At 51.7% G+C, this 25,031-nt stretch overlaps 9 annotated features.

Moving 5' to 3' along the window:
- Nucleotides 583-1,456: an enhancer, noted in NCBI's record as "H3K4me1 hESC enhancer chr16:4346736-4347609 (GRCh37/hg19 assembly coordinates)". NCBI's record gives its function as "activates a minimal SCP1, AML or CMV promoter by ChIP-STARR-seq in primed H9 embryonic stem cells {active_cell/tissue: H9 hESC(primed)}" and the evidence as "EXISTENCE:reporter gene assay evidence [ECO:0000049][PMID:30033119]".
- Nucleotides 3,096-3,755: an enhancer, noted in NCBI's record as "H3K27ac-H3K4me1 hESC enhancer chr16:4344437-4345096 (GRCh37/hg19 assembly coordinates)". NCBI's record gives its function as "activates a minimal SCP1, AML or CMV promoter by ChIP-STARR-seq in primed H9 embryonic stem cells {active_cell/tissue: H9 hESC(primed)}" and the evidence as "EXISTENCE:reporter gene assay evidence [ECO:0000049][PMID:30033119]".
- Nucleotides 7,432-8,050: an enhancer, noted in NCBI's record as "H3K27ac hESC enhancer chr16:4340142-4340760 (GRCh37/hg19 assembly coordinates)". NCBI's record gives its function as "activates a minimal SCP1, AML or CMV promoter by ChIP-STARR-seq in naive H9 embryonic stem cells {active_cell/tissue: H9 hESC(naive)}" and the evidence as "EXISTENCE:reporter gene assay evidence [ECO:0000049][PMID:30033119]".
- Nucleotides 9,650-9,759: an enhancer, noted in NCBI's record as "active region_10339". NCBI's record gives its function as "activates an Ori minimal core promoter by ATAC-STARR-seq in GM12878 lymphoblastoid cells {active_cell/tissue: GM12878}" and the evidence as "EXISTENCE:reporter gene assay evidence [ECO:0000049][PMID:35858748]".
- Nucleotides 10,488-10,987: an enhancer, noted in NCBI's record as "H3K27ac hESC enhancer chr16:4337205-4337704 (GRCh37/hg19 assembly coordinates)". NCBI's record gives its function as "activates a minimal SCP1, AML or CMV promoter by ChIP-STARR-seq in naive H9 embryonic stem cells {active_cell/tissue: H9 hESC(naive)}" and the evidence as "EXISTENCE:reporter gene assay evidence [ECO:0000049][PMID:30033119]".
- Nucleotides 10,988-11,489: an enhancer, noted in NCBI's record as "H3K27ac hESC enhancer chr16:4336703-4337204 (GRCh37/hg19 assembly coordinates)". NCBI's record gives its function as "activates a minimal SCP1, AML or CMV promoter by ChIP-STARR-seq in naive H9 embryonic stem cells {active_cell/tissue: H9 hESC(naive)}" and the evidence as "EXISTENCE:reporter gene assay evidence [ECO:0000049][PMID:30033119]".
- Nucleotides 15,449-15,743: a silencer, noted in NCBI's record as "tiled region #12742; HepG2 Repressive DNase unmatched - State 8:EnhW". NCBI's record gives its function as "represses a minimal TATA promoter and a strong SV40 promoter by Sharpr-MPRA in HepG2 cells {active_cell/tissue: HepG2}" and the evidence as "EXISTENCE:reporter gene assay evidence [ECO:0000049][PMID:27701403]".
- Nucleotides 24,022-24,997: an enhancer, noted in NCBI's record as "H3K27ac hESC enhancer chr16:4323195-4324170 (GRCh37/hg19 assembly coordinates)". NCBI's record gives its function as "activates a minimal SCP1, AML or CMV promoter by ChIP-STARR-seq in primed H9 embryonic stem cells {active_cell/tissue: H9 hESC(primed)}" and the evidence as "EXISTENCE:reporter gene assay evidence [ECO:0000049][PMID:30033119]".
- Nucleotides 24,224-24,873: a silencer, noted in NCBI's record as "silent region_7151". NCBI's record gives its function as "represses an Ori minimal core promoter by ATAC-STARR-seq in GM12878 lymphoblastoid cells {active_cell/tissue: GM12878}" and the evidence as "EXISTENCE:reporter gene assay evidence [ECO:0000049][PMID:35858748]".

Genomic DNA, 25,031 nt, shown 5'->3' with positions numbered 1-25,031 from the left:
GTGGAAGGATCGATTGATCCTGGGAGTTGGAGACCAGCGTGGGCAACATAGCAAGACCCTGTCTCTACAAAAAAAAATTTTTTTTGAGATGGGAGTCTTGCTGTGTCGCCCAGGCTGGAGCACAGTGGCGTGATCTCGGCTCACTGCAAGCTCTGCCTCCCAGGTTCATGCCATTCTCCTGCCTCAGCCTCCCAAGTAGCTGGGACTACAGGTGCCTGCCACACGCCCGGCTAATTTTTTTGTATTTTCAAAAATTTTTTTTTAAATTAGATGAGCATAGTGGTGTGTACCTGTGGTCCCAGCTACTTGGGAAACTGAGACGGGAAGATGGCTTGAGCCCAGGAGGTTAAGGCTGCGGTGAGCCTTGATCGCACCACTGCATTCCAGCCTGGTCAACAGAGCAAGGCCCTATCTCAAAAACAAAACAAAAAAACATAAATACAAGAGCGACCCCCCAGCTCTGCTAAGCTGCCTCCACCATGCTGGCTGCCAGGCCCTGTGCTCAGCTTCATGGGCTTTAGCGTCCCCAGGTGTCCCTTTGGTTGAGTCTCTCCCTTAAGCTCTCAGATGCTCATTTTCTTCATCTCTGAAATCTCCAAGCTTCTTTTCAGGATTGGATGAGACAATCCTGGCAAATCCCTTGGCACAGGCCTTGCCCCAAGGAGGCAGATGATAGCTCACGTCTAGTTCCTTTCTCATCCTGACATCTAGGTTCTCTGTGATCTGCCTGTGGGCTCGAAGGATGGTGTGCATGTGTGTGTTTGCATGTGTGTGCGTGGGTGTGCATGAGTGTGTCTGCACGCAGCAGCAGCAGCCCCCTTTCTGTTCTCCTAGGAGTTTTGTATTTGATTTCTCCTCCAGAGTCTTGGGGGCTCCACAGGAGAGATGGTGGAGGCGGGAGGAGCAAGAAAGGGGTGAGGTTAGAAGCCTGGTCCCAGCTGGGGCTGCAGCTGGGGGCCTGCAGGCTCTGGCCTGCCCTGGGAGGCCCTCCCTGTACCTGCAGCTGCATCTGGGGCCGGAGGAGGGGCCAGGCGTCCTTCCGCTCCAGGAGCTGCTGCCTGTCCCCCTCCCATGACACATGAGGACTGTGTCTGGTCGATTCACATTGGAGGGTCCCTGAATGAGCTTTGTCCATTAGAGGACCTGTATTCTTGTTCCTGGAACCTGGGAGTGGGTCAGAAGGGTGACTCACACCTGTAATCCCAGCACTTTGGGAGGCCAAGGTGGGTGGATTACCTGAGGTCAGGAGTTTGAGACCAGCCTGGCCAACATGACGAAACCCCATCTCTACTAAAAATATAAAAATTAGCTTGGCATGGTGGTGCGTGCCTGTAATCCCAACCACTCGGGAGGCTGAGACAGGAGAACTGCTTAAACCTGGGAGGCAGAGGTTGCAGTGAGCCGAAATTGCGCCATTGCACTCCAGCCTGGGTGACAAGAGTGAGACTCTGTCTCAAAAAATAAAAATAGGCCGGGCGCAGTCGCTCACGCCTGTAATCCCAGCACTTTGGGAGGCCGAGGCAGGCAAATCACAAGGTTAGGAGATCGAGAGCATCCTGGCTAACACAGTGAAACCCCATCTCTACTAAAAATACAAAAAATTAGCCAGGTGTGGTGGCGGGCGCCTGTAGTCCCAGCTACTCCAGAGGCTGAGGCAGGAGAATGGCGTGAACCCAGGAGGCAGAGCTTGCAGTGAGCCAAGTTCGCGCCACTGCACTCCAGCCTGGGTGACAGAGAGAGACTCTGTCTAAAATAAATAAATTAGTTAATAATAATAAAAATAAAAAATAAAATCAAGCTGGGAGCAGTGGCTCATGCTTGTAATCCCGGCACTTTGGGAGGCTGAGACCGGCAGATCACCTGAGGTCAGGAGTTCGAGACCAACCTGGCCAACATGGTGAACCCCGTCTCTACTAAAAATACAAAAATTTGGCCGGGCACAGTGGCTCACGCCTGTAATCCTAGCACTTTGGGAGGCCAAGGCGGGCGGATCATGAGTTGAGGAGATCGAGACCATCCTGGCTAACACGGTGAAACCCCAGACCCCATCTCTACTAAAAAAATTAGCCGGGTGTGGTGGTGGGTGCCTGTAGTTTCAGCTACTCGGGAGGCTGAGCCAGGAGAATCGCTTGAACCAGGGAGGTGGAGGTTGCAGTGAGCTGAGATCGCACCACTGTACTCCAGCCTGGGTGACAGAGTGAGACTCCATCTCAAAAAAAGATTAAAAAATAAAAATAAGATATAATTCACATACCGTAAAATTCACCTCTTTGAAGTGTACAATCAGTGGTTTTTAGTGTATTCAGAGTCGTGCAACCATCATCAACATCTAATTTCAGAACATTTTCACCATCCCAAAAAGAAACCCTATACTCAAGAAGCAGCCACTCCCCATTCCTCTTTCCTCCCAGGCCCTGGCAACGCACCAGCCTGTTTTCTGCCTCTATGGATTTCCCTATTCTGGGCATTTCAAATAAAGTGGTGGTCTCTTGTGATTGGCTTTTCACTTAATGTTTCAAGGTTCGTCTATATTGTAGCATAGATCAGCACCTTGTTCCTTTTTATTTTTGAGACACAGTCTCGCTCTGTCGCTCAGGCTGGAGTGCAATGGTGAAATCTCTGCTCATTGCAAGCTCTGCCTCCCAAGTTCAAGCGATACTTGTGCCTCAGCCTCTGGAGTAGCTGGGATTACAGGCGTGGACCACCACGCCCGGCTATTTTTGCTCGTTTTTAGTAGAGATGGAGTTTCGTCATGTTGGCCAGGCTGGTCTTAAACTCCTGACTTCAAGTGATCGGCCCGCCTCAGCCTCCCAAAATGCTGGGATTACAGGGCGGCATGAGCCACCACACCCGGCCTTTATCTGTCTGTCTGTCTGTCTGTCTATCTATCTATCTAATCTATCTATTTTTGAGACAGAGTCTCCCTCTGTCCCCCAGGCTGAAGTGCAATGGCACAATCTCATCTCACTGCAACCTCTGCCTCCTGGGTTCAAGTGATTCTCCTGCCTCAGTCTCCCAACTAGCTAGGATTACGGGCGCCCACCACCACCCCCAGCTGATTTTTGTATTTTGAGTAGAGATGGGGTTTCACCATATTGCCCAGGCTGCTCTCCAACTCCTGGCCTCAAGCAACCCGCCTGCCTTGGCCTCCCAAAGTGCTGTGATTACAGGCATGAGCCACCGTGCCCAGCTTTTTTTTTTTTTTTTTTTTTTGAGACAGAGTCCTGCTCTGTCACCCATTTTGGAGTGCAGTGGCATGATCTCAGCTCACTGCAACCTCCACCTCCCAGGTTCAAACGATTCTTCTGCCTCAGCCTCCCGCGTAGCTGGGACTACAGGCGTGCATCACCACGCCCAGCTAATTTTTGTATTTTTAGTAGAGACAGGGTTTCACCGTATTGGCCGGGCTGGTGTCCGACTCCTGACCTCAGGTGATCCGCTTGCCTTGGCCTCCCAAAGTGCTGGGATTACAGGTGTGAGCCACTGCGCCCGGCCTATTTTTTTTATTAAAAAAAAAAAAAGAGTATGGATAAGGCACTCGCGCTGTGCCTGGTACCTCTCACCTCTCTGGTTGGTGCTTATGCATCCCTGAGGTGCCTGTGCAAAGGCAGGCGGACACCCAGGCCCGTGGAGGGGGCAGCAGCCCTGCGACATTCCCTGCCCCCAAGCAGCAGGAGGCTCATTTATCCATTTATCAGGGAAGCTTCCTGTGCCTCAGCTTTCCCAAGGTGGGGAAGGGTGAAGTCGAGGCCAGGCCTCTGCGGTTGGGACACCCCGAGGGATCTCCCTGTCCTCCTCCTCGGTTCTCCAGGCCCCACTCTGCCACTGCCCCATCTCCCCACCTAGAGCTTCCTGCAGAGCCGGGCAGAGCCGGGTGCCTTCTCTGCTGGTTGCCTGGGCGCCTGTGCCCCTTCCCTAGATCTGCAGTAGGGAACTGCTTCCCGGTGGCCTAAGGGCTTGGACGCTGGCCATGACCATGGACACCCCCACCACCCTGAGAGGGTGCCATACCCCAGCCCGAGGCTGGAGGGCCAGCTGTACGGCAGGGCCATGGAAGGGAGGACCAGGCAGCCTCCTGTGGCTCCTGCCAGGGAAACCCTCTCTGCTCGCTGCTGCTCAGCCTTTCCCAGCCCTGCCCCTCTCGTCTTGCTTCTCACATTTCAGCCTCTGAGTTACTGGCACCACTGTCTGTTGCTGCTGTTGCTGCTGCTGCTGCTGAAGCCGGCACCAGCCAGACATTAACCCCTGATGCGCTGGCGGCCGCAGCTGCACAGCAGGAAAGGGGCACCAGGGGCTCAAGCTCTGGCGGGCTTGAGGGAGGAGAGAGCAATCCCAGAGCCGGTCCCTTTGCTGCCCCCGGTCCCCACTCCACAGTGCTTACTGCGCTTGCTTCTTCCTTGTCTGCACAGACTTGAAGCCAAAACCCTTTCTGACCCCTACGAGTTGCTCCTTCCTCTGACAGTCTGGCTCTGACCATCAGCCCACAGGAAGGGGCTACATTTCACCTGGTAGCTGACCTTGTCGTTTCATGCATGGCCATGTTTTCTCCCTCCGTATGCCTTGTCATGCCCAGCGGGACCCTCCTCTTGTACCCGGATTTACCTGGCCACGGTTGAGCCACCAGGACCAGGTAAGCTCTTGAGTTTTGAGGCCAACAGGAAGCCATTCTCCAGGGCAGCCACGGGGGGATCTGGAGGAGCCTGAAAGAAGTGCAGGCCCTGGTAGTGGCTGGCTGTGATGGGCTTGGCCAAGCCCCTTGGGCGTGATCATAGGACTCAGGGCACCATGGTGAGGATGAAACTAGGAGTGCAGGTGGGGCGCGGCGGCTCACGCCTGTAATCCCAGCACTTAGGGAGGCCGAGGCGGGCAGATCACCTGAGGTCAGGACTTCAAGACCAGCCTGGCCAACATAGTTAAACTCTGTCTCTACAAAAATACAAAAATTAGCAGGGCATGATGGCTGGTGCCTATAATCCCAGCTACTCGGGAAGCTGAGGTGGGAGAATTGCTTGAGCCTGGAAGGCTGCGGTTGCAGTGAGCCAAGATCGCACCATTACACTCTAGCCTGGGTGACAGAGTGAGACTCCCTCTCAAAAAAGAAAAGAAGGAAGGAAGGAAAGAAAATAACTAGGAGGCTGGGCGCGGTGGCTCACGCCTGTAATCCCAGCACTTTGGGAGGCCGAGGCAGGTGGATCACGAGGTCAGGAGATCGAGACCATCCTGGCCAACACGGTGAAGCCCCGTCTCTACTAAAAATACAAAAAAAAAATTAGCCGGGCGTGGTGGCAGGTGCCTGTAGTCCCAGCTACTCGGGAGGCTGAGGCAGGAGAATGTCGTGAACCCAGGAGGCAGAGCTTGCAGTGAGCCGACAGAGCGAGACTCCGTCTCAAAAAAAAAAAAAAAAAAAAAAAAAGAAACTAGGAGTGCGAAGAAAGCCCCCACAGCAGCACTGGCCTGCGCTGGTGATGATCTATGGCTCCCGCCCCCGGACCCACACTGGGGCTTGGAGCCTGCCCCTCCCCAGGGAGAGCTGGCCCTGTTTCCTGGCTGCCTCTCCCAGCTGGAAACTCACCCAGCTTTGGTTTTCATGAGCGCAGGCCTCCAGCCCTCCTCTGGCCTGGTCAGCCCCAGCCTTCCCTTTTCCAGTCTCAAGTGGAACATGACATTCCACCTTCCGTTCCCAACCTCTGTCTACTCCATGTGAAGAGATCCAGTCACCCAGAGGGACACTGGAGATGGCACCTCCCAGGTGTCCTCATCCCACATGCCTCTGCTTCCTGCCTTTCTTCTGATCCCCAAATGCAACTTTCTGGTTTCTTTCATTCTTTTTTTTTTTTTTTTGAGATTGAGTCTCGCTCTGTCAGAGGCTGGAGTGCAGTGGCGCAGTCCTGGCTCACTGCAACCTCCACCCCCTGGGTTCAAGGGACACTCCTGCCTCAGCCTCCTGAGTAATTGGGACTACAGGAGTGTGCCACCTCGCCTGGCTAATTTTTGTATTTTTAGTAGAGATGGGGTTTCACCATGTTGGTCAGGCTGGTCTCAAACTCCTGCACTCAAGTGATCTGCCCACCTCAGCCTCCCAAAGTGCTGAGATTACAGGCGTGAGCCACCATACCCGGCTCTTTGTTTTTTTCAAGAGTCTCACTTGCTTGCCCTGGCTGGAGTGCAGTGACATGATCATGGCTCACTGCAGCCTCAACCTTTTGGCCTCAAGTGATCCTACCTCCTCAGCCTCCCAAGTATCTGGGCCAGGTGCACCACCAACACACCCAGTTAATTTTTAAATTTTTGTAGAGAAGGAGTCTTGCTATGTTGTCCAGGCTGGTCTCAAACTCCTGGGCTCAAGTGATCCTCCTACCTCAGTCTCCCGAAGTGCTGGGGTTACAAGTGTGAGCCACGGCCCCTAGCTCCCCTTGATTTCTTGTGGGCCTCCTTTGACCCTCCACTCTCTCTGGCCACACTGCCTTGGTTCCTTGGCTGGCTCTTTTCTCTTTCTCTCTCTCTCTCTCCTTTCTTTTTTCTTTTTTTGAGATGGAGTCTCGCCCTGTTGCCCAGGCTGGAGTGCAGTGGCGCAATTTCGGCTCACTGCAAGCTCCACCTCCTGGGTTCACGCCATTCTCCTGCCTCAACCTTCTGAGTAGCTGGGACTACAGGTGCCCGCCACCACGCCCGGCTAATTTTTTGTATTTTTAGTAGAGATGGGGTTTCACCATGTAGCCAGGATGGTGTCGATCTCCTGACCTCATGATCTGCCTGCCTCAGCCTCCCAAAGTGCTGGGATTACAGGCGTGAGCCACCGTGTCTGGCCTCTTTCTTTCTTTCTTTCATCTTTCTTTCTTTTTTTTAATTTTTGACGTAGTCTCACTCTGTCGCCCAGGCTGCAGTGCAGTGGCACGATCTCGACTCACTGCAATCTCTGCCTCCTGGGTTCAAGCGACTCTCCTGCCTCAGCCTTCTGAGTAGCTAGGATTACAGGGGTACGCCACCAAGCCCAGCTAATGTTTGTATTTTTAGCAAAGACAGGGTTTCACTATGTTGGCCAGGCTGATCTCGAACTCCTGACCTCAGTTGATCCACCTGCCTCGGCCTCCCAAATGCTGGGATTACAGGTGTCAGCCACAACGCCTGGCCTGATTTACTCTCATTTTCTATTAACCAGAGGCCTCCTGGTGAGAAGGCCCCAGGCTGGGTGTCAGGGGTCTTAGATCTGGTCTCATGGTTACAGCTAATTCTTTGAGGGTCTTCAGAAATGTCCATCCTCCATGTCAACAGGCTCTGCTCTGCTTGATGAAATTATTGTAACTGCCCCATGGCCTCATAATCAATTGATAAAGCAGTTTGATGGCCATTTCTGTGTAAAGCAGAAACAGTCCAGCCAGCATGGCTGTGAATTGAGTGTTTCTAGAGGGAGTGCACTCGGTTGAAGGCCTGGGCACCTGGTTCCTCCTTGTGGACACTGAGAAGCAGAGAGGCACTTCCCTAGGGGAAAAGTCCCTAAAGGGAGCTGAAATCCTCTTCGAGTGTGGGAGGAGGAAGAGAAATTGAGTGCTGAAAAGGACAGGGCGGGTGAGCTGATGGAGGGGAGACGGAGAGGCAGAGGGAGAAGGAGAGGGAGAGGGCTGGCAGGCGCCCATAGCTGGGGCCAGAGAGAGAGGGTGCAGGGGACTCCAGCCACCTCAAATAGGGTTGCAGCCAGCCCCATTTTTGTGTGTTTGTTTGTGTGTCTGTTTGTTTGTTTTTGAGACAAGGTCTCCCTGGGTCACCAAGGCTGGAATGCAGTGGTGCAATCATGACTCACTCCAACCTCAACATCCTGGGATCAAGTGATCCTCTCACCTCAGCTCCCTAAGTAGCTGGGACCACAGCATGTGCCACCAGGCCCAGCTGATTTTTTTTTTTTTTTTTGAGATGGAGTTTCGCTCTTGTTGCCCAAGCTGGAGTGCAATGGCGCGATCTCAGCTCACTGCAACCTCCACCTCCTAGGTTCAAGCAATTCTCCTGCCTCAGCCTCTCGAGTAGCTGAGATTACAGGCGCGCGCCACCGTGCCTGGTAAATTTTTTGTAGTAGAAACGGGATTTTACCATGTTTGCCAGGCTGGTCTCGAACTCCTGACCTCAGGTGATCCACCTGCCTTGCCCTCCCAAAATGTTAGGATTAGAGGCGTGAGCCACCATGCTGGCCCTTTTTTTTTTTTTTTTTTTTTTTTTTAAGATGGAGTTTCTCTCTGTCCCCCATGCTGGAGTGCAGTGGCATGATCTCAGCTCACTGCAGGCTCTGTCTCCCGGGCGCAAGCAATTCTCATGCCTCAGCCTCCTGAGGAGCTGGAAATACAGGTGCCCACCACCATGCCCAACTAATTTTTGTATTTTTAGTAAAGATGGGGTTTCGCCATGTTGGCCAGGCTGGTCTCAAACTCCTGACCTCAGGTGATCCGCCTACCTCGGCCTCCCAAAGTGCTGGGATTGCAGGAGTGAGCCACTGTGCCCAGCCAATTAAAAAAAAAAAATTTTTTTTGAGACGAAATTTCGCTCTTGTTGCCCAGGCTGGAGTGCAATGGCATGATCTGGACTCACCGCAACCTCCGCCTCGTGGGTTCAAGTCATTCTTCTGCCTCAGTCTCCCAAATAGCTGGGATTACAGGCATGCGCCACCATGCCTGGCTAATTTTGTGTTTTTAGTAGAGATGGGGTTTCACCATGTTGGTCAGGCTGGTGTCAAACTCCCGACCTCAGGTGATCCGCCCACCTTGGCCTCCCAAAGTGCTGCGATTACAGGCATGAGCCACCACACCTGGCCTTAAAACATTTTTTGTAGAGATGGGGGCTTGCTATGTTGCCCAGGCTGGTCTTGAACTCGTAGGCTCAAGTGATCCTCCTGCCTCAGCCTCATGAGTAGCTGGGACTACAAGTGCACACCATCACGCCTAGCTAATTTTTTTTTTTTTTTTTTTTTTTTTTTTTTTTTTTTTGTTTTGAGACTGAGTCTCATTCTGTTGCCCAGGCTGGAGTACAGTGGCACGATCTCGGCTCACTGCAACCTCCACCTCCCGGGTTCAAGTGATTCTCCTGCCTCAGCCTCCTGAGTAGCTGGGATTACAGCTGCCCACCACCACGCCCGGCAAATTTTTGTATTTTTAGTAGAAGTGGGGTTTCACCATGTTGTCCCGGCTGGCCTCGAATTTCTGACCTCAAATGATCCTTCTGCCTCGGCGTCCCAAAGTGCTGGGATTACAGGCATGAGCCACCGCGCACTGCTAATTTTTTTTAAAGATGAAATCTTGCTATGTTGCCCAGGCTGGTTTGGAACTCCTGAGCTCAAATGATCCTCTCATCTGGCCTCCCAGAGGGCTGGGATCCCAGGTGTGAGCCATCGGGAACCAGCTGCATTTTCAGTGCTTACTCATGGCCAAAGTGAATCAGATCCAACTGAGGAGGAGGAGGCGCGCATCACAGGTCTCCCTAGACAAGCCAGGCACTGTAGGGATCTGCAGGGCCTCGGGATTGTGGGGGGCTGCGGTCAGCCCCTTCACCCCAACACCTACCTGCCTGGGGCTCCCCCACCGTGTTCCTGCTCGGCATCCACAAAGCAGCGCGTGTGCCGGACGCCCCCTACTGGTCGGGGGAGCCCCAGCCCTGTGAGCCCAGAGATGTCCCCCTGACTTGGGGAGAGGAGGGCCAGAGGACCGGAAGTGGCTTTGCTCCGAACCCCAGTAGGAGCATCTGACCCCCGTTCCGCCTTCCTGGGAGCATCCAGGATCCTTTCCCAGGCAGGGACTTTTTGCTTCTCAACCTGGCTCCAACGACTGGTGTCCCTGCCCCCGCCACCACCCCAAAGAGGCTATGGTTCCCCATATGCACGGGAGTATAGCAGGGCCGGAAAGGTCAGGTGCTGCATCCCCCTGCTCCCAGCAAATTTCTATAGCGGAACAAGCCTCGTTAAGACTGAGGACATAGATTCCTGCCTGGGTTCCATCTCCAATTCTCTGTATGTTCTCAGGAAATTCTCCTCCCTTACTCTATCCTACCTTCAAACCCCCCATCTGGGGCAGGAGAATTTTCCTGTGACCCCCAATGCCCTTTACCCTGGTGTAACCCCCTTTTGATGAGTGTGGGCAAAACCTACAAATATATCACTTCTGTGGTTAGGATGCATGACATGCTATGGTTGACCTTGAGGCAGAGAGATTATCAATGATTCTGACCTAATCACATGCACTCTTAAAAAGCAGAGTTGGCCAGGCGCAGTGGCTCACACCTGTAATCCCAGCACCTTGGGAAGCTGAGGCTGGAAGATCGCTTGAGTCCATGAGTTTGAGACAAGCCTGGGCAACATAGGAAGACCCTATCTCTACAAAAAAATTAAGAAAATTAACACATATAGGCCGGGTGCGGTGGCTCACGCCTGTAATCCTAGCACTTTGGGAGGCCGAGGCAGGTGGATCACCTGAGGTTGGGAGTTCAAGACCAGCCTGACTAATATGGAGAAACCCTGTCTCTACTAAAAATACAAAATTAGCCGGGTGTAGGCTGGGCTCTGTGGCTCATGCCTGTCATCTCAGCACTTTGGGAGGCTGAGGTGCGCGGATCACCTGAGGTCAGGAGTTCAAGACCAGCCTGGCCAACATGGTGAAACCCGTGTCTACTAAAATGTACAAAAAACTAGCCGGCCGTGGTGGTGCATGCGTGTAATCCCAGCTTTTCAGGAGGCTGAGGCAGGAGAATCACTTGAACCAGGGAGGTGGAGATTGCAGTGAGCCGAGATTGCACCATTGCATTCCAGACTGGGCGACAAGAGCAAAGTTCTGTCTCAAAAAAAAAAAAAAATGCTGAATAATATTAGGCCGGGCGCAGTAGCTCACGACTGTAATCCCATCACTTTGGGAGGCTGAGGCAGGTGGATCACGAGGTCAGGAGATTGAGACCATTCCTGGCTAACACAGTGAAACGCTGTCTCTAGCCAGGCGCGGTGGCTCACACCTGTAATCCCAGCACTTTGGGAGGCCGAGGCGGGGAGATCAAGAGGTCAGGAGATTGAGACCATTCTGGCTAACATGGTGAAACCCCATCTCTACTAAAAAATACAAAAAATTAGTCGGGCATGGGGGCAGGCGCCTGTAGTCCCAGATACTCGCGAGGCTGAGGCAGGAGAATGGCGTGAGCCCGGGAGGCAGAGCTTGCAGTGAGCTGAGATCACACCACTGCACTCCAGCCTGGGCGACAGAGCGAGACTCTGTCTCAAAAAAAAAAAAGAAAAGAAAATTCTAGAAACACCGTGTCTACTAAAAATACAAAAAAGCCAGGTGTGGTGGCAGAGGCTGAGGCGGGAGGATCGCTTGAGCCCAGGAAGTTTTGTTTGTTTTGTTTTGTTTTTAGAAGGAGTCTCGTTCTGGAATGTAGTGGCAGGATCTCGGCTCACTGCAACCTCCGCCTCCTGGATTCAAGTGATTCTTCTACCTCAGCCTCCTGAGTAGCTGAGACTACAGCCGTGTGCTACCTCCCCTGGCGAATTTTTGTAATTTTTTAGTAGAGATGGGGTTTCATCATGTTGCCCAGGCTGATCTCGAACTCTTGACCTCAAGTGATCCGCCCGCCCCTACCTACCAAAGTGTTGAGATTACAGGTGTGAACCACTGTGCCCGGCCTGAGCCCAGGAAGTTGACACTGCAGTGAGCCATGATTGCACCACTGCGATCAAACCCCACCCCCCGAAAAAAAAGACCCAAAAACCTAAGTGTAAAAATGAGAACAACCTATCCTCACCTCTGCAGCAGCCACCTTTGCCGACAGCTCTTCCTCCTGGCTGCAGTTCTTATGATTTCCCATCTCCAACCAGCAGCTCCCAACCAGCCTGGGAAGGGGTTGGGGGTAGCCTTTGTCCTGAAAACTGCTGTGCTGATGGCATGGTCAGAGCAGCTGACACCTCCGAGCCAGTGAGGAAAGAGCCAAGGGAAGGAGTCCTGAATCCTCTGCTCTAAGGAATCCCCCATGCTTGCTTTCTGGGGCTTCCTGGACTTGTGGCCATCTTTAGGGTCAGTCAATAAAGTTGCTTTTTTTTTTTTTTGAGATGGAGTCTCGCTTTGTCACTCAGGCTGGAATGCAGTGGCACAATCTCGGCTCACTGCAACCTCCACCTCCCGGGTTCAAACGATTCTCCTGCCTCAGCCTCCCAAGTAGCTGGGACTACAGGCGTGCGCCACCATGCCCGACTAATTTTTGTATTTTTAGTAAAGATGAAGTTTCACCAGTTGGCCAGGCCGGTCTCGAACTCCTGACCTCAGGTGATCCACCTGCCTCAGCCTCCCACAGTGCTGGGATTACAAGCGTGAGCCACTGCCCCTGGCCTTCCCTTTTTTTTTTTTTAATTATTTTATTTTATTTTGTTTTGAAGTATTTCACTCTGTTGCCCAGGCTGCCTTTGCAATCCTGGACTTGGGGGATTTTTCTGTCTCAGCCTCTGGAGTAGCTGAAATTACAGATGTGTGCCACCACACTCTGCTGATTACTTTCTTTTTTTACAGAGACCCACCTTTTATTTGTATTTATTTATTTATTTATTTATTTGAGACATGGTCTTGCTCTGTTGCTCAGGTTGAAGTGCAGTGGCATGATCACGACTCACTGCAGCCTTAACTCCTAGGCTCAAGCAATCCTCCCGCCTCAGCCTCCTGAGTAGCCAGGACTTCAGACATAAGCCACTGTGACCGGCCAAGAGACCCACCTTTTACAGGGCAAGTGGTTTGTTTGCCAATTTTCACTGCCCCACCACATGAGGGTGTTTCGAGTGGGAAGCAGGTGCACCCTGTGTGAACAGCAAAGCCCAGCGCATGCCTGCTGCCTCCCACCTGCTGCCACGTAGAGCTGGGAAGGGGAAAGGCTGAGCCCCACCTCCGACCTTCCCTACATATCAGGAAATCTTGTCGTTCTCCAAGGTCAGCTCAGACGCCTCTGGCCACTGCCGCCCATGGCAACTTGGTGCCAGGGATGACAGCAACCAACACTCATTGATGCCGTGACATGCCAGGCTGTCACCAGCTTTTCACAACAGCCCTGCCAGGGAGATGCTGTGTGGCTTTCATTTTGCAGATGAGAGAGCAGAGTCAGGTTAGTAGGGTTGGGGTTCAGGCAGGACCTGGATTCTGTACCACACTTCGTGGCTGCTAGTGGTTTCTGGAAGTCTGTTGTCTGAAGAGCAGGGAGTGTGTGTAGACAGAGACAGGTCTGAGGGCTGTGCCGTGGGCATGTCCTAGACGCAAAGCAAAAAAAGAATTTCAAGAAGGTCAGATGCAGTGAAGGCAGAAAACAGAGACCCAGATGTAGCATCCTGGAGGTCCTCGTGACTTTGAAAAGAGAAGGGTTTGTGTGTGTGTGTGTGTGTGTGTGTGTGTGTGTGTGTGTGTGTGTTTTATTATTTATTTATTTATTTTTGAGACAGTCTCACAGTTGCCCAGGCTGGAGTGCAGTGGTGCGATCTCGGCTCAGGTGCGATCTGTTGCCCAGGTTCAAGCGATTCTCCTGCCTCAGCCTCCTGAGTAGCTGGGATTACAGGTGCCTGCCCTTGCGCCTGGCTAATTTTTGTAGTTTTAGCAGAGATGGGGGTTTCACCATCTTGGCCAGGCTGGTTTTGAACTCCTGACCTCGTGATCCACCTGCCTTGGCCTCCCAAAGTGCTGGGACTACAGGCATGAGCCACCGCGCCCAGCCATATGTGTTTTATTTTGGAGACAGGGTCTCACTCTGCGGTCTAGGCTGGAGTGCAGTGGTGCACTCTTGGCTCAAAGCAGCCTCAACCTCTTAGAATCAAGTGATCCTCCCTCCTCAGCCTCCAGAGTAGTAGCTGGGACCAAAGATGTGCATCACCACACCTGGCTAATATTTTAATTATTTATAAAGATGAAGTCTTGCTATGTTGCCCGGCTGGTCTGGAACTCCTGGGCTCAAGCCATCCTCCTGCCTCCTGCTTTGACCTCCCAAAGTGCTAGGATTACAGAAGTGAGTCACTGCCCCCATGCAGTCATGGGGGTGTGATGGAGTGAGCAGGAGGGAAGGGGAGAGAGTGAGTGTGAACATCCATTTCAAGGAGTTTTGCTGTTAGATTCCAGAGCTGGGCTGGGCGTGGTGGCACATACCTGTAGTCCCAGCTACAAAGGAGGCTGAGGCAAGAGAATGGCTTGAACCTGGGAGGTGGAGGTTGAAGTGAGTGGAGATCATGCCACTGCACTCCAGCTTGGGTGACAGAGTGAGACTGTCTCAAAACCAAGAAAAGAGAGCAGAGCTAAGGGGATCTAGGGTCAGTCCGTTGGTTTGAAAGGAGAATAGTAACAGCTTGTTAGTAATGGGTATGATCCAAAAGACGGTGTGCACTGAAGACAAAGGAGAGAGGACAGTTTCTGGAGTGACGGCTCTGAGTTGTGCAAGTAGAAGGGTCTTCTGTGCATGAACAGCATGGATGCTCATCCAGAGACACTGGCCGATGGCAGTTCCCAGGCACAGAGAGGGAGGCAGTGGCGGGCATGGCAGCCTGTGGAAGGTCTCTTCTAATTGCTTCCATTTCCCTCAGAGGAACGGGAAGTGAGCTACAAGCAAGGAGGAGGTGCTAGAGGGCTTGAGGGGAGAGGAGAAGGAAGGGTAGGAAGAAGGGGCCAGGGCAACAGGATGCAGTCACAGCAACCCCCAGACCCACTTGAGGGTATGGATCAGGCACTTAAAAATAAGAGCAGTGGCAGGCTGGGCGCGATGGCTCATGCGTGTAATCCCAGCACTTTGGGAGGCCAAGGCGGGCGGATCACCTGAGGTCTGGAGTTCGAGGCCAGGCTGACCAACATGAAGATACCCCATCTCTACTAAAAATACAAAATTAGCTGGGCATGGTGGTGGGCACCTGTAATCCCAGCTACTTGGGAGGCTGAGGTAGGAGAATCACTTGAACCCAGGAGGCAGAGGTTGCGGTGAGCTGAGATTGTGCCGTTGCACTCCAGCCTGGGCAATAAGAGCAGAGCTCTGTCTCAAAAAAAGGACCTGGTGGAGGCCGGGCACGGTGGCTCATGCCTGTAATCCCAGCACTTTGGGAGGCTGAGATGGGTGGATCACAAGGTCAGGAGATTGAGACCATCCTGGCTAACATGGTGAAACCCTGTCTATACTAAAAATACAAAAAATTAGCCGGGCACGGTGGCTGGCACCTGTAGTCCCCAGCTACTCTGGAGGCTGAGGCAGGAGAATGGCGTGAACCCGGGAGGCGGAGCTTGCAGTGAGCAGAGAGAGCGCCACTGCCGTCTGGCCTGGGCGAAAGAGAGAGACTCCGTCTCAAAAAAAAAAAAAAAAAAAAAAAAGAGGGTCTGGTGCAGTGGCTCACGCCTGTAATCCCAGTGCTTTGGGAGGCTGAGGCGTGAGGATTGCTTGAGCCCAGGAGGCTACAATAAGCCGTGCACCACTGCATTCCAGCCTGAGTGAGAGTGAGACCCTGTCTCAAAAAAAAAAAAAACAAAAATCCAAAAACCCGTCACCTAGCGGGTGACTTTGACTTTGACAACATCCCTAATACAACTGTTGCTGACTGGAGGGAAAAAATAAAAACAAACCAATCAGCAAGGTTGTGGGATTTCCTCTTTCTAGCCATATTTGGCTGTTTCTTTCAGGTAGGGAGAGGGGAAGAGCAGGCAGTGTGAGATGAACTGGGTCACAGCTGCAGGAGTTAGCAGGATCAATGGGGTCAGCCGACTATGGCCCACTGCATTTTTTGTTTGTTTGTTTTGAGAGGGAGTTTTGCTCTTGTCACCCAGGCTGGAGTGCAATGGTGTGATCTCAGCTCACCACAACTTCTGCCTCCCAGGTTGAAGCCATTCTCCTGCCTCAGCCCCCTCAGTAGTTGGGATTACAGGCGCCCACCACCACAACCAGCTAGTTTTTGTATTTTGAATACAGACAGGGTTTCACCATTTGGCCAGGCTGGTCTCGAACTTCTGACCTCAGGTGATCTGACCTCCTCAAGCCTCCCAAAGTGCTGGGATTACAGGCATGAGCCACTGAGCCTGGCCCAGCCCACTGCTTTTATAACAAACCTTTTTCTATTGTGGTAAAATATACATAACAAAGACTTACTGTTTAACCAGTTATTTATTTGTTTGTTTATTTGTTTTTGTAGAGACGGGGTCTCACCATGTTGCCCGGGACAGTCTTGAACTCTTTTTTTTTTTTTTTTTAAGTAGTCTCGCTCTCTTGCCCAGGCTGGAGTGCAATGGTGTGATCTCTGCTCACTGCAACCTCTGCCTCCCAGGTTCAAATGATTCTCCCTCCTCAGCCTCCTGAATAGCTGGGATTACAGGCACAGGCCACCACACCTGGCTAATTTTTGTAGTTTTGTAGAGATAGGGTTTCACCATATTGGCCAGGCTGATCTTGAACTCCTAACCTCAGGTGATCTGCCTGCCTTGGCCTCCCAAAGTGCTGGGATTACAGGCATGAGCCACCTCTCCCAGCTGGTGTTGAACTCTTGGTGGGTGAACAAGTGAGCCAGCCAGCCAAGCTTCATCTGTATCTACAGCCACTCCACATGGCTAGCGGTACTGCCTGAGTTCCGCCTCCTGCCAGATCAGCGGTGGCATTAGATTCTCATAGGAGTGCAACCTTATTGTGAATGAACTGTGGGTGTGCGGGATCTAGATTGAGTGCTTCTTATGAGAATCTAATGCCTGATGATCTGTCACTATCTCCCATCACCCCCAGATGGGACTGTCTAGTTGCAGGAAAACAAACTCAGGGCTCCCATTGAGTCTACATTATGGTGAGTTGCATAGTTATTTTATTATATATTATAGTGTAATAATAGAAATAAGGTATGCAATAAATGTAATGCTGTAGTAGGTGTCAGTGCTTCATTCTGTCTTATGGCTGAATAATATTCCACTGTATGGACAGACCACATTTAGTTTATCCATTCATCAGTTGATAGATACTAGGTTGCTTCCATGTTTTGGCTCGTATGAATAATGCTGCTGTGGACATGGGTGTACCATGATCTGTTTGAGTCCCTGTTTTCATTCTCTTGGATGTTTACCTAGGAGTGGAATTGCTGGGGCCTATGATAACTACTGCCTGTTGCATGGCTCACAAACCAAGAATGGTGTGGTAGACAGAATAATGGCCCCCCCAATGAAGATCATGCCCCATCCCCAGAACCTATCAATAGTTACCTTATGTGGCAAAAGGGACTCTGCAGTTGTGATTACGTTAAGGATTTTGAGATGGGGAGATTATTCTGCATTATCTGGGTGGGCCCAAGGTCATCAAGAGAGGGAGATGAAAGGGTGAGAGAGATGGGATGGCAGAAGCAGAGACTGAGAAGTGCACTTTGAAGATGGAGGAAGGGGCCACAAGCCAAGGAATGTGAGTGGCATCTACAAGTTGGAAAAGGGAAGGAAACGGATTCTTCCCTAGAACTTTAGGAGAAATACAACCCTGCTTACACCCTGAATTTAGCCAAACATAACCCATCTGGACTTCTGACCTTCAGAGAATAAATTTGTGTTGTTTTTTAAAATTATACACACACACACACACACACACACACACACACACACACACACACAGACATATATTTGTGGAGATGGAATTTCCCTATGTTGTTGCCCAGGCTGGTCTCCAACTGCTGGCCTCAAGTGATCCTCCTGCATCAGCCTCCCAAAGTGCTGAGATTACAGGCATGAGCCATGATTCCTGGTCAAATTTATGTTGTTTTATGCCACTAAGCTTGTAGTAACTTGTTACGGAGGCCATAGAACTTTTACATTTTCAAATGGTTGGAAAGCGATCAAATGATATTTTGTGGCACATGAAATTATACGACATTCCATTTGTGTCCATAAGCAAAGTGTTATTGGCACCCAGAGATGCCCATTCATTCATATACCATCTAGGACTGCTTTCCAGCCGGAGGGACAATAGAGTGCTTGCAGGAGGCCGTGTGGTCTGCAAAGCCTAAAATATTTACTATCTGGTACTTTAGGGAAAAAACCTTGCTGACTCCTAATATATTTATTCATTTTGTTGTTGTTGTTTGTTTTTTGAGACGGAGTCTTGCTCTGTCGCTAGGCTGGAGTGCAGTGGCATGATCTCGGCTCACTGCAACCTCTGCTTCCCAGGTTCAAGCGATTCTCCTGCCTCGGCTTCCTGGGTAGCTGGGACTACAGGCACACAGCACCATGCCCAGCTAATTTTTTGTATTTTAGTAGAGATGGGGTTTCACCATGTTGGCCAGGATGGTTTCAATCTCCTGAACTCATGATCCACCTGCCTCAGCCTCCCAAAGTGCTGGGATTACAGGCATGAGCCACGGCACCCGGCCTGTTTGTTTGTTTTTGAGATGCTTCGTCACCCAGGCTGGAGTGCAGTGGCGCAATCTCGGCTCACAGCAGCCTCTGCCTCCCAGGTTCAAGGGATTCTCATACCTCACTCTCCCGAGTAGCTGGGATTACAGGTGCCTGCCATCATGCCTGGCTAATTTTTGTATTTCTAGTAGAGGTAGGGTTTCCCCATGTTGGCCAGGCTGGTCTCAAACTCCTGACTTCAAGTGATCCATCTGCCTTGGCCTCCCAAAGTGCTGAGATTACAGGCATGCGCCACTGCTACCGGCCTGATTTTTTTTTTTTTTTTTTTGAGGCGGAGTCTGGCTCTCCCAGGCTGGAGTGCAGTGGCACAATCTCGGCTCACTACAATCTCCACCTCCCGGGTTCAAGCGATTCTCCTGCCTCAGCCTCCTAAGTAGCTGGGACTACAGGCATGTGCCACCATGCCTAGATTTTTTTTTTTTTGTCCTTTTAGTAGAGATTGGGTTTCACTATGTTGGTCAGGCTGGTCTTGAACTGCTGACCTCAAATGATCCGCCCACCTCGGCCTTCCAAAGTGCTGGGATTACAGGCATGAGCCACGGCACCTGGCCTGATTGATTATTTTTATTTTTTATTGTATTTATTTATTTTTTGAGACAGAGTCTTACTCTGTCGCCCAGGCTGGAGGGCAGTGGCGCGATCTTGGCTTACTGCAACCTCCGCCTCCTGGGTTCAAGAGATTCTCCTGCCTCAGCCTCCTGCGTAGCTGGGATTATAGGCACCCGCCACCACGCCCGGCTATTTTTTTATTTTAGTAGAGATAGGGTTTCGTCATGTTGGCCATGGTGGTCTTGAACTCCTGACCTCAGGTGATCCACTCACCTCAGCCTTCCAAAGTGCTGGGATCACAGGCGTGAGCCACCACGCCCGGCCTAGTCAAGGCAATTCTGTAAGGGAGGAGCAGGAGGTAGACACGCTTGCTCCAGTTGCCATTCATTCATTCACTCATTTTTTCAGGCACCGGAGAGGTCATTCAGTGCATTTGGTTTTGTGGCCCTATGGCATATATTGATTGTCTCCAAATGTCATCATTTCCTGAGCACAGCTCCTGTCACTGCAGTGTGGTCGGCAGCTTCTCGAGGGCAGCATTTCTGGTTTGATTTCCGTGTGGCCAAGTAGGATATGTGAACACAGAAAGAAGTAGCCAGGACTGATTGGACAGTCCCTCTCCAGGGCTGTGCAAATGATGCCCATGTTCCTTGGGGACACAGAGTGGGTCCCGGAAGGCTGACGGGCAGCCCTGATTCTGCTGCCTTCTGCCTGGGCTAGAGTGAGACCTCAGTAGCTGCGGGAATCACAAGCAGCAGGGTGGGGCTAGGGTAATACAAGGGAGGCCCTTGCTTGGGGAACAAAAGTTAATGGGAGCACCAAACCCCTCAGTAATCAAGTTTCACAAAACTTTAATGCAATACTTTAGAGAAATCAAAACTGGCCAGGAACAGTGGCTCACACCTATAATCCCGGCACTTTGGGAGGCCGAAGCAGGAGGATGGCTTGAGTCCAAGAGTTTAAGACCAGCCTGGACAACATAGTGAGACCCTGTCTCTACAAAAAATTTTAAAAATTGCCAGGCATGGTGGTGGCATGCCTGTAGTCCCAGGTACTTGAGAGGCTGAGTTGGGAGGATCACATGGGCCTAGGAGTTCAAGGCCTGCAAAGAGCTATTGTATCACCACTGTACTCCTCCTGCCTGGGCAACAGAGTGAGACCCTGTCTCAAGAAAAAATTGAAATTAATGCCAAAAATTTACAATGACCAAAATATCTGAATTACAAATTAAAAACACATTTATTGATTTATAATAAATCAGTATTAGAAATCAATGTTGAACCAGCTTTTGAATGTTTATTTTTTTAATTTTTGAGACAGTCTCAATTTGTCGCCCAGGCTGGAGCACAGTGGTGCGATCTCCACTACTGCAACCTCTGCCTCCCGGGTTCAAGTGAGTCTCCTGCCTCAGCCTCCTGAGTAGCTGGGACTACAGGCACTTGCCACCATGCCCGGCTAATTTTTGTGTTTTCAGTAGAGACAGTTTCACCATGTTGGCCAGGCTGGTCTCGAACTTCTGATCTCAAGTGATCTGTCTGCCTCTGCCTCCCAAAGTGCTGGGATTACAGGCATGAACCACCACGCCTGGCCCAGTCTTTGAATTTTTAAAATTTTATTATTATTATTATTATTATTATTATTTTATGGATGGAGTCTCGCTCTGTCACCAAGGCTGGAGTGCAGTGGTGCGATCTCGGCTCACTGCAACCTCCACCTCCCGGGTTCAAGCGATTCCCCTGCCTTAGCCTCCCAAGTAGCTGTGACTACAGGTGCCCACCACCATGCCTGGCTAATTTTTTTTGTATTTTTAGTAGAGATGGGGTTTCATCATGTTAGCCAGGGTGGTCTCAATCTCCTGACCTTGTGATCTACCTACTTTGGACTCCCAGTTAAAATGTATTATTAAGACAGGGTCTTACACTGTTGCCCAGTCTGAAGGGCCATGGCGTGATCATAGCTCACTGTAGTCTTGAACTCCTGGGCTCAATCAACCCTCCTGCCTCAGCCTCCCAAGTAGCTGGGACTTTAGGCATGCACCACCGTGCCAGTCTAATTTTTTTTTATTTTTTTGTAAAGACAGCATCTGGTTATGTTGTCCAGGCTGGTCTCCAACTCCTGGCCTCAAGGGATCCTCCTGCCTCGGTCTTCCAAAGTGCTGAGATTACAAGTGTGAGACACTGTGCCTGGCCATTATTTGAATTTAAAGCTAAGGATCAGCAACAGTGTCTTGGAGAGCTATACTGAAGCCTGAGGGAAAGGGAAAAATCAGTAATACTGAGATAGTCATTAAAATGTGGAGAGTGTGTTTAGTATGGATTTTTGGCAGTAATTTATTTTATTTTATTTTATTATTTTATTTATGTATTATTTTATTGAGACAGGGTCTTGCTGTGTCACCCAGGCTGGAGTGCAGCGGCACGATCACAGCTCACTGCAGCCTCAACCTCCCTGGGCTCAAGCAATCCTCCCACCTCACCCTCCCGAACAGCTGGGACTACATCACCACGACAAGTTAATTCTTTTATATTTTTTATAGAGATGGTGTCTCACCACGTTGCCCAGGCTGGTCTTGAACTCCTGAGCTAAAGCAATCCACTCACTTGGGCCTCCCGAAGTGCTGGGATTACAGGCATGAGCCACTGTGCCCAGCCAATTTTGATGTTTTAAAATGTTAAATTAAGACGTAATTTGAGGCTGGGCGCGGTGGCTCATGCCTGTAATCCCAGCACTTTGGGAGACCAAGGCTGGTGGATCACTTGAGGTCAGGAGTTCAAGACCAGCCTGGGCAACATGGTGAGATCCTATCTCTACAAAAATTGCAAAAAATACCTGGGCATGGTGGCGCACTCCTGTAGTCCCAGCAACTCAGGAGGCTGAGGGACGAGAATCACTTGAACCCGGGAGGCGGAGGTTGCCGTGAGCCGAGATTGCGCCATTGGACTCCAGCGTGGGTGACAGAGCGAGACTCTGTCTCAAAAAAAAACAACAATAACAACAAAGAAAACCCAACATAATTTATCTTGGGTGTTGAAATTTTTGTCACTCTCTTACATTTTGCGATGTCAACTCTTGCCCCAGGAACCAGATTCTGTGTGGGCCTAGAAATGACTTCCAAGACAAATGAAAAAGCAGGTCTCTGCCATCCCCTGGCCGGACTCCAAATGCCGCTGCTTTGCGGGGGCTTCCTTGATTTATTAGGAGAGGGGATGAGTGCCTACTACCCAGTTCAGTGTGGGCAGCCAGCTCCCGGGTCTGCCTGGGCCACCCACTTGTGCCTAGGGTCTCCCTCTCATCCTTTCTGCCAAGGCTGTCTCCAGGGATATCAGCTTTGCAGATCACTCTCTGCAGTTCACACATGTGCCCAGCCCTGTACCATCCCCCGTGAAGAGAGAAAAGAGTAAAAGCACAGTCCCTCGTCTCTGGGAGACAAAATTGGACCAAGGAGGCCAGGTGCAGTAGCTCATGCCTGTAATCCCAGCACTTTGGGAGGCGGAGGCAGGTGGATTACGAGGTCAGGAGTTCGAGACCAGCCTGGCCAACATAGTGAAACCTCGTCTCTACTAAAAATACACAAAAATTAGCCAGGCCTGGTGGCAGGCGCCTGTAATCTCAGCTACTTGGGAGGCTGAGGCAGGAGAACAGGAGAATCGCTTAAACCTGGGAGGTAGAGGTTCCAGTGAGCCGAGATCGCGCCACTGCACTCCAGCCTGGGCGACAGTGTGAGACTCCGTCTCAAAAAAAAAAAAAAAAATTGAACCAGGGAGACAGCCAGAGAACACTCTGAAGGCCACATATAACTAAGTATGACAGAATGCTTTGCTCTGGAAAATAACAAAAGCAAGTACAAAATAAGGCCCTGATCAGAGGTGAGGTGTGGCAGGTGGGAGGATGAGTGTGATATAAAGAACCAGGGCTTTTTGCAGCCAGCACTCCTGAGTGCATTCTTGTCTGCAGCTGTGAGCTTCTGTCTTCCCATGTGCAAAATGAGAGGATAAGGAGACAGTAATGCACCAGAATAGCTTGCTCACTGCTGGGTGAGGTGGCTGATGCCTGTAATCCTGGCACTTTGGGGGACCGGGGTGGGCAGATCGCCTGAGGTCAGGAGTTTGAGACCAGCCTGGCCAACAGGGCAAAATCCCATCTGTACTAAAAATACAAAAATTAGCCGGGCTTGGTGGTGTGTGCCTGTAACCACAGCTACTTGGGAGGCTGAGGCAGAAGAATCACTTGAACCCAGGAGGCGGAGGTTGCAGTGAGCCGAGATCGTGCCACTGCACTCTAGCCTGGGTGACAAAGCAAGACTCCGTCTTAAAAAACAAAACAAAACAAAACAAAAAAAAGAATAGCTTGCTCACTAAGGGCAGTTAAAAATAGGCTTCCCACCAGGGCCATCCATGGCTCATGCTTGTAATCCCAGCAATTTGGGAGGTAGAGGTAGGATTCCTTGAGTCCCAGGAGTTCAAGACCAGGCTGGGCAACACAGTGAGACTCCTATCTCTATTTGTTGAAAAACAGTAAAAAGGTTTTTTTTTTTTTTTTTTTTTGAGACGGAGTTTCACTCTTGTTGCCCAGGCTGGAGTGCAATGACATGATCTTGGCTCACTGCAACCTCCACCTCCCGGGTTCAAGCGATTCTCCTGCTTCAGCCTCCCGAGTAGCTGAGATTACAGGCATGTGCCACCAGGCCCCCGGCTAATTTTGCATTTTTAGTAGAGACGGGGTTTCTCCATGTTGGTCAGGCTGGTCTCGAACTCCCGACCTCAGGTGATCCACCCGCCTCAGCCTCCCAAAGTGCTGAGATTACAGGCGTGAGCCAACGCGCCCAGCCGAAAGTTTTTTTTTTTTTTTTTTTTTTTTAAGTAGAAACATAGTAAGCCTTCCAGAGACTTTTTTTTGGTCAAGTGGTCTGGGATCTCTCCTTAGAGAAACTGCCTAACAGGTTGCTTCAAGGATTGGAGAGCGTGTAAGCAAAACTGCTCGGCATCCACCGGGTGCTGGCAACATCTAATAACAATATTTCCCAATAATAACAGTAACTATTGTTACTAGTAGGAATAAGTCAAATTAGGAGGCGCGATTTAGGCGGAACCTGGAAGGCGGTGGGCAGGATCCAGGACATTCCAAGGCAGGCGTGGGCTTCCTGAGCCAGGAGCCAACCCTCCAGGAGCCAGGGGAGGGCCTGGGGCCGGAAGGTGCGGCGTGCGAGCGGAGGACGGAAGCTCGCCGCCAGGGTCCCCGTCCCTGCCCCAAGTCGTCACCCCCTCTTGGGGAGCGCATCCTGGCGGAGGGGCAAGTCCCACACGGGCTTTGTTATGAATGGGAAGCTGCAGCCTTCAGCCCGCGGAGGGAACAGTGCGGGTCTGGGGGAATAGCAGGGGACCCGGCAGCAACCAGCAGACCTCCCCGCAGCGCTGGCAGCCTGCGCCCGGGGGCCGCTGCCGTTCAGGCCCGCCTCCACCCTCCCCTCCCTGCCGGGGCCCCCGGCTTCCTAGGGCGGCCCCAGCATCCGAGGCGCCCTTTGCCGTCCCGTCGCCGGGTCCAAGATTCCCAGGATCCGGAGTCCCGGCCGTGCGGCCAGCTAAGCAAGGCGGGAGGGAGGAAGCTGGCCGGCCTCCGAAGTCAGCCCCGAGTTACATGTGGGAAGCGGTGGCTGTGACGCAAGTTTCCAGGGGGCCCTGGGCTCGGCTCGAAGGGAGCACACCGGAGAGGCTCCGCTCCGTGCAGCTGCAATGGTGAAAAAGCAGAAGCCCCAAGCGCGAACCCCAGGCCGCCTTCCTTGCTGCCGCTGCACGCCCGACCCAGCCGCGCCCCCTCCTCCCTGCGGGCCGGCCGAGCGCGCGGACCCTGCTCTGGGCCAGTCGCTGCTGGACTCCGGGCTGCACGGGCTGGGCTCCCTGCGCGGTGGCTGGCCTTTTTTTTTTTTTTTTTGCAACGCTTGCCAACCTGTCAGCTGATGGACCTCATCACCCATAGTGGCGCATGTAGCTCGGCCGCAGCTCGCTCCATTCACGCCGCGCCCCGCAAGCCCGCCCGCGGCCCCCGGCCCCCTGCGCCCCGCGAGAGGCCTGCAGACCCCGGTTGCAGCCGGTCCCCGGGGGC

This window comes from Homo sapiens, chromosome 16 (genome assembly GCF_000001405.40).
Source record: "Homo sapiens chromosome 16, GRCh38.p14 Primary Assembly".
Classification (NCBI taxonomy): Eukaryota; Metazoa; Chordata; class Mammalia; order Primates; family Hominidae; genus Homo; species Homo sapiens.
The sequence above is the reverse complement of the archived record's forward strand: the minus strand, read 5'-3'. Positions and strand labels throughout refer to the sequence as shown.